At 40.9% G+C, this 8483-nt stretch overlaps 1 annotated feature.

The window, feature by feature from the left end:
• Positions 1392–1893: an enhancer, noted in NCBI's record as "NANOG hESC enhancer chr10:2179631-2180132 (GRCh37/hg19 assembly coordinates)". NCBI's record gives its function as "activates a minimal SCP1, AML or CMV promoter by ChIP-STARR-seq in naive H9 embryonic stem cells {active_cell/tissue: H9 hESC(naive)}" and the evidence as "EXISTENCE:reporter gene assay evidence [ECO:0000049][PMID:30033119]".

The raw sequence follows: 8483 nt of genomic DNA on the forward strand, positions 1-8483 counted from the left end.
ATGGACCCTGGGATGCTGGAGATCTCAGGACTTGGTTGTCAGATGACTTTTTTTTTTTTTCTGATGATATTCACTTTCTAATTCAGCCCCTTATTCTAGATCATCTACATATCCATGGCTTCCCCACTGGTGTCAATGACCTGGGCCTCTGCCGTTCATTACAGATCTATACATCCAACTACCTACTTCCCATCTCCACCTGGATATCAAATAATTATCAGAGCATAGGTATGCTAAGCACTGAATTCCCCATGTTCCTCAACTCCCTCCACCTGGAATCTCCATCTACACTCTTGGAAGATTGACCCTATCAGGCCCTCGGATCTTTGAATTTCTCCTTTGCTCATGCGTGACCTCCAAACTCTCATAAGAGTCTCAAAGCAGTTTTTCAAACCATGTGCAGATTTTTTGAAAATGCAGAATAATTTCCACTGTTACCCAAGCCCAAACAGTCACAGTCTCTCATGTTGCTGTTGGAATAGCCTTTGCCTGGCCTTCCCGTTTGTGCCTTGTTTCCTTCATTCTGGTCCTGGGCTGATGGATGCCAGCCTCTGAGCCAGGCCCAGCCTCCCCTATGTGTGTTTAGCTGTTGAGCTAGTAATGTTTTCTATATTTTTAGAGAAGAATATTTTATGACCCATGTATTTTATATTAAATTTAAATTGTAGGGTCCCAAAATACAGTTTTCCTGGGACACAGCCACACCCAATTGTTGACGTATGACCTATAGCTGCTTTTCCTGCTACAAAAGAGAGTTGAGTTGCTGTGACAGAGATGGTACAGCCTGCTGAGTTTATTTGCATATTTATTTGTATTTTATTTATTTATTTATCTTGAGGTGGAGTCTTGCTCTTTCGCCCAGGCTGGAGTGCAGTGACACTATCTCGACTCACTGCAACCTAGGTTCAAGCAATTCTCGTGCCTCAGCCTCCTGAGTAGCTGGGATTACAGGCATGTGCCGCCACACCCACCTAATTTTTGTATTTTTTGGTAGAGATGGGATTTCACCATTTTGGCCAGGCTGATCTCGAACTCCTGACTTCAACTGATCTGCCCACCTCGGCCTCCCAAAGTGCTGGGATTAGAGGAGTGAACCTCCCCACCCAGCCAGCCCCCTGAGTTTAAAATGATTATTACTCAGCTGTGGTACAGAGCACAAAGAGTCAAAGTTTGCCAACCCCTGTTCTAGTTTTAACACATCACCTGGAATGATCCTGCTCAAACAAAGTAAAAAATTATGACACTTCTGACACCCACTCATCACCCACCTCAAGAAAGAGACTGTTCTTACAGTGGCCTAGAAGTGAGATGACAGCATGCTTTTCTGTTCACCTTGGTTCATTTCTGAGGGCAAAAATGCAGATTTATCCATAGTTACTATTGAATAAGGCCATTATTCCCAGGCATGAACTGGGAATATGATCACCTTAACTCTACACTCCACATAATCTGGCACCACTAACTCTCAGATCTAGAATTAGCCTGCCTGGGCTGGTGTGACAACATACCACAGACTGGGTGGCTCAAGCAACAGGCATTAAGGCTCTCATGCTTCTAGAGTCTGGAAGTCCAAGATCAAGGTTCCTGCCTTTTCCTCTCCCTGGTGAGGGCTACATTCTTGACTTGCAAAAGGCCACCTGCTGGCTGTCAACTCACAGATGGCAGACAGAGGGAGCTCTCTGCTGACTCCTCTAATAAGGTACTCATGCATTCATGGTGCACAGCCTCATAACCTTATCAAAACCTAATCACCTCCCAAGGTCTCACCTCCTGATACATTCCCATGGTGGTTGGTTAGGGCTTCCACAAAGGAATCTGAGGACTCACTTTGTCCATGGCAGGTCTCATCTCTGACCACTCTCCTCATTCACCACCTCAGTCTCACAGCCGTTTGTCTTCCCAAAACACCCTTGACATGCACCCTGCCAGAGCCAGCCGCTCCAAGTGCCTGCCCCATCCTGCGCCATGTGAGCCTCACTCCCTGGGGGCCTTCTCAAGTGCCAGCCTTCCTGGCCTTTTCTGTTCACCTCTACTCCACGGTGTGGACTCAGCTACACATTTCTAATAGTCCTTAGTCTTTTTCTTTTTTCCTGTAGCAATTATCACCCCTAACATACAATTTCCAGGCTGTCATAGCTGATTTTTCGCATATTTTCCTGAATGCTGTACACCCAGTCTTTAGAATAGCATCTAGAGCTATGTGGCTGCTCAAAATATATTTACCAAAGAAGAAAATTAACAGATGAATGAATGGGCCATGTTCAGGTCATTTTGGCAGAAGGAAAATAGCTGTTTATTAACTGCTCCTGTAGGATAGCTTACAAAGAAGCTATACCAGGAACATAATTGACTTTTCAATATTTATGTGTGTGGGTGGGGGAATAGCAGTGAGAAATGGGGAAAGAAAAAGGTGTTAGAAACAAAAAGAATTGATAGTTTACATCTTCTAACATTTCAATAAATGTTGAGTTTAATTGTTAGCTGGACAGCTTTAAATAAAATTAGATCATTTTAGATATGCATGCTGTATTGTGATCATCTTTTTCATTCTTTTCATTATATTCAAAAAATATTTCCATGTAAACCATCAACCCTAAAGCAACACTTTAAAAGGAGAGTGACCGCACCTTAATTCATTTATATCCTCTTCCAACATGCATGCTTATTATAAATAGTCCCAAATATATATACACAAAAATAAAATTAAAATGTGTCTGGGATAACAACAAATACATTCAGCCTTTCTCTTTATGTCGTCTTTAATTCAGAATCTCAGTTCTCTCCCTCTATAATTTCATGAGCATTTTGTTTATTTGGAAAAAATTATCAGTACATTTTATTTAGGAATGTAGATGAGAAATAATATGTCTTATCTACATAGGGCTTATTCCAAGAACTTAAGCATGTTTTAACATAAAAAGTATAGCAAACATAGTTATTATGTTAAAAGATTAATGGAAAATAGAGCTAGATTTTTCTTCATTTAATTTTTCCATGAATATATATGACATTTGTTTTACAAACATTGTATTGACTGAAAACTGATAATATCACATTAGCAAAATAACTTGCAATGTTCTGGATCCATTTCCCTTAAATCAGTTGCAGAATTAAGCAAAATTCTTCAGTGAAATGATGAATTCTTAATACAACTGAGTGTTGGCGGTTACAACTCTCAATGGAGCCCTAACTCTATGGTTGAAAAATTCAGTGAACTTTCGATTTCAGGTGGGTAGGGTCACAAAAGGCTCTTTATGCTTGATATTGAGGCTGGAAAATCATTCCTGCTTTTAGGGAAAATCTGATTATTTGTCTTATAATGTAGAGTTCTGTAACAAAATATAAATTTTAGGGTCAGGTCCTCATCAACATGCAGGCAAGGAATCTAAACTTCTCCATGTAGACAAGGGATGTGTCTGTTCATCATGGTGTTCCTGCCAATTGGAATAGTGCCTGGGACACGGAATCGTGTTATCATACGTGTTGAATGCATAGATAACCATACATGTTGAATGCACTGTTGGACATCCATGAAATTCATGTTCTAGCATAATTTTCTATTGCTATGGTCTCAGGAGCATTACGTGGGGCTCATACTGAAGGGTCTCAGAGATTTTGAGCAGATTTCAGAGTAAGAGGGTGAAGGCCGGGTTTTTTAGAGAAGCAAAACAGTCTTCTGCAAATTGGGAGGAGATTCCTCACCAGATGCTGGGTCTGCTGGCACCTTGACCTTGGGCTTCCCACCTCCAGAATTGTGAAAAGTAAGTGTTTGTTGTTTTAAGCCACTCAGTTCATGGTAATGTTTTTACAGCAGCCTGAACTGACTTCTCTCCTTAACTGAACTATGAACATCTTGAGGGAAGGCATTGCTTGTCATAACATTCAACGCCAAGCAAATGCCTGCTTTGCAAGTTTGTAAATAGCTTTGTTGATGACTACAAATGATATCAGAAGAATTTTGGAAGGGGAGAAGCTAATGAACAATAAATCATGGGACTATCACCTTTAACCTTTTAAATGAGCCAGTAGGTAGGGTTGGTAACATTGTAATGCACAAAACAAATGCATTTCAATATGTCATGATGAAGAAAAGATTACTTAGATAATTGAAAAGAAAAATAAAGCAAGATAATCAAGGCTACATTAGGTACCATGATTATGTGCAAACAACACATAGAGAAGTTGGCAGTATCTGTTAAATATAAATTTAATTAATCCAGATGGCTAATTTCATAGACTGAAAGATCTAAGTATTTTTCTTTTCTTCTTGACCAAAATTATCTGATAGCTTGTGCTCTGAAAGCTCAATAAAATAACACATTAATATTAAATTCGCTGAGTGCAGTGGCTCATGCTTGTAATTCCAGAATTTTGGGAGGTCAATGTGGGATGATAACTTGAGCCCAGGAGTTTGCGACCAGCCTTGGCAACAGAGTGAAACCCCGTCTCTACAAAACGCAAAAATAACACAGTGAGACCCCATTTCTACAAAAAGCAAAAATAAAAAAGTAGCCAGGACTGTGTTTCCAGTTACTTGGGAGGCTGAGCTGGAAGGTTTGCTTAAGCCCAGGAGGTCCAGGCTGCAGTAAGCCCTGATTGTACCACTGCAACAGAGCAATACCCTTTCTCAAAAAATATACTAGGTTCTAGTTTATATTAACATGCTGTGAAAAACAAACACATGCAATACTATAAGTAGACTTTAAAACAATTCATCCCTCGGATACATTTATTTTGATAGAAATGAGTTATTGACAGAAAACAGCTAGAGTAGAAAATGTCATTCTAGACTTCGTAGGTGACTGGTTTGATAGTAGCCAGATTTGGAGAGGTAAGAAAATTGATGAAAATCCATGAACAGATATGATTAAATTGTTCAAAACATTAAAAAAATTTGAGTTATTTCCATGGGGCTTTTTGGGTAGACAAGCATAAAAGGGGTAGAGTAGAAATTCTTCTCTCCCCATGACTACATGGATTTGTGCTTTTTGCTTCCTCTCTGTCTCAGCAGCACTTTGAAGACACATGACCTGCTTTCCGAGATTAGAGACATGTGATGATAATATGTGTGATTACTCTTTTACGACAGAGCTTCAAAGTCATAGGAAGGCTTAGAAATAAGAGTAAAACAGCCGTGCTAATTTTACTTGGCAGAATTATTTAACCACTTATGGAGTAATCTGATGTCCAATAAGTATGAGAAAGTGAATGGAAAGGCCGGGCTCACACCTGTAATCTCCCAGCAGTTTGGGAGGCCAAGGCAGGTGGATCACTTGAGGTCAGGAGTTCGTGACCAGCCTGGCCAAAACAGTGAAACCCCATTTCTACCAAAAATACGAAAATTAGCTGGGCACAGTGGTGTATGCCTGTAATCCCAGCTACTTGGGTGGCTGAGGCAGGAGAATTGCTTGAACCTGGGAGGTGGAGGTTGCAGTGAGCTGAGATTGTGCCACTGCACTCCAGCCTGGGTGATAGAGGAAACTCTGTCTAAAAAAAAAAAAAAAAGAAAGAAAGAAAAGAAAGTGAACCGAAGGAGGGTTTAACCCCACTGTGAGGCACTAGCTGTGCCCTCTGAGGTCACGGGTGGTGGCCACCATCACAAGCACCCAGAACCACTGAGCCCTATGACTGTAGCACCAGGGAGTCTCACCTGTGCCTCCTTCCATTTCCACAGCGCTTCTTGTCATTCTGTGTCTGTTCCTCATTCTTTTCTTAATACAAACACCTACAGACTATTGTAATGCACGTTGCTATTTTCTTTCTCTGACATCTTTCATACTGTTATCAAAATTAATTTTCCAAAAAATAGTTTTTTTTTCTCTTCCTCACCAAATCTGCTATTGCACTTATATTGCAAGAGGAGGTCTAATGCATTCAGTGTGTTGTTGAAGACCCCATGTGAGCTGGTCCCAGAGGACTTTCTCTCCAGGAATACTGGGCCCCGCACCTTTCCTGTTCCTACGATTTTCACACTCCTTCCCCCTGTCTCGAATGCCTTTGTTATACATTCTCCTTCTCACACTTCAGATGTTCTTTGTAAATTGAAAACCTTCTCATTCAGCTACATGTGAACAATGAGTTACAGAGAAAGCATGAGATGTAATTCTACACACTGAGAGTTGTATACAACTAAAGCCAATCATCTTCTACTTCACTCTGAAGTGGTAAAATGTAACCCCTTCCTGACCTTCCTTTATTATATGTAGTATGTAAGTGCTCTGAAACTCATTATATAAAAATTATTATTATGGCTATATTTATCCTGAGAATTACCATTTTCTCTGGTTTTCTCTCTTGCAGTTCAGAAGCCAATTACTGTTAAACAATTAAAAGCAATTAATGAGTTTTGGGACGAAGTGACTATCACTGAAATGCTGCAGAATTTTACCCACTGTTCCAGAAAATGCAGGGCCTGGCAGACCAGGGGCAAAAGCTGCTGCAATGACTGTAGAAAAGAGATTCTGGGATGGGACCCACTGAATCTAGTCATACAAAGAGATTGCTTTTCACCCTTCATTGTGGAAAAGTGAATGCCACAGCACACTGCAAAGAATAGAGCTTATTATCTCCAAATACCATTTGAAAATAAGTGATCAGTGCTGGAGAGTCATTAAATATACACAGTTGGAATATTGAGCTTTTAATCTATGGGAGCGACTTGGAATATATTGCCTCATTATTTTATTTTATGGCTCAAGACATAACTTGCATTATGTTTCAGTGAACAATGAGTATCAAACCCTGAAAAAATTACCTCATTTCTTTTTTATGCTTTCTCACTATAGGCAAATGCATTACAAACTCTAATTTATTCTGACCCAGAAATTGCTCTGTGGCACATTTCTGCAGGCTGCTGTGTGCATAAAACAGGGAGTCACTCAGCATAGGATTATTATTATTTTCTTATTTTTTTCAAATTGTTTATATTTCCAAAAGTCAAAGTCAGATTAGCTATTATAGGCAACTTTCAATATAATGTTTTCCAGAAGATAACACCATTACCTAGGATTAGTGCCATTCTATAACGCCTGAGAATAAGAACAACTAGCACCCACATTATCAAGAAAACAACTACGAAATACATGTACCTTAGTCATAGAATTTGATCCTGCATATCCGGATTTGTTCTGAGGTGCACAGTGTGTGAAATACAGTAGCAGAGAGAGATCTCTATTTCCTAACAGGATGGAGGGCCGGGGGGAAGCGGAAATGAAATGCAGTGAATGAGTGACAGCTGGGGAAGTGGAAATGAAGTGCAGTGAATGAGTGACAGCCGGGGAAGTGGAAATGAAGTGCAGTGAATGAGTGACAGCCGGGGAAGCGGAAATGAAGTGTAGTGAATGAGTGACAGCCGGGGAAGCGGAAATGAAGTGTAGTGAATGAGTGACAGCAGGAGTTACTTTCTTTGATCATCAGCACCTGCACATTTGTCTCCATTCATGAAACACTTTGCTCCTGTCGTTGGATATTAGATTGCAGCTCCTAGTTAAGCATTTCTTAATATGAAAGATCCAAGGCTTTGTCATTTTTATATTAAAACACTCGAATCATTAACTGTCGAGTGAAGAAGCCCAGCCCTATCAAGAGCACATGCTGAAGGCTCCGCTTGGATAAGGTTCAGACCACATGGAACGAACCCTGTGAGACAGAAATCCTAACAGAGGGCCGGGCGCAGTGACTCATGCCTGCAATCCCAGCACTCTGGGAGGCCGAGGCAGGTGGGTCACCAGAGATCAGGAGTTCGAGACCAGCCTGGTCAGCCTGGTGAAACTCCATCTCTACTAAAAATACAAAAATTAGCTGGGTATGGTGGCAGGCGCCTGTAATCCTAGCTACTCGGGAGGCTGAGGCAGGAGAATCCCTTGAACATGGGAGGAGGTTGCAGTGAGCTGAGATTGCGCCACTGCACTCCAGCCTGGGCAACAGAGCGAGACTCCATATCAAAAAAAAAAAAAAAAGAAAAGAAAAATCCTAACAGAGGTTACCAATGGGAGTGGGAGAGGCTCTGTCAAGTGGAAGGGGTCCCTGGGGAAGCTGTAAGGATGCTGGAAGTTTCTTATGCCTTGATAATTATAAAGGTATGTACCTCGGTAAAAATTCATTGAGATGCACACTTAAGATGAGTGCTCTTATGTTATAATAAAATAAAAATAAAAAGAAGTAAAAAAAGACTGGTTTGAAAATAAACAGTTTATAATCACCCCCCTGCCCCCACCCCAGACACACACGTTCATTCTCTCCGTCCCCAACACACACATGAAGAAGGGAGACCGACACCAACTGCCAGGACCCAGAAGAAGACAAAGGCCCATCTGCCAATCTTCTTCTTCTTCTCTTGAATTTTTCTCATCCTTCCTAGGTCTCCTCTGTGGTGCAAACAAAAGCGACACACACATTTCCACTGTAGTTCTCAAATTATGCTCCTGTGGCTCATGGATTTCTAAGAGCTAGTCTGAGAGTGTCCTGCTACTGAATTGAATAAC

Source organism: Homo sapiens, chromosome 10 (genome assembly GCF_000001405.40).
Source record: "Homo sapiens chromosome 10, GRCh38.p14 Primary Assembly".
Lineage (NCBI taxonomy): Eukaryota > Metazoa > Chordata > Mammalia > Primates > Hominidae > Homo > Homo sapiens.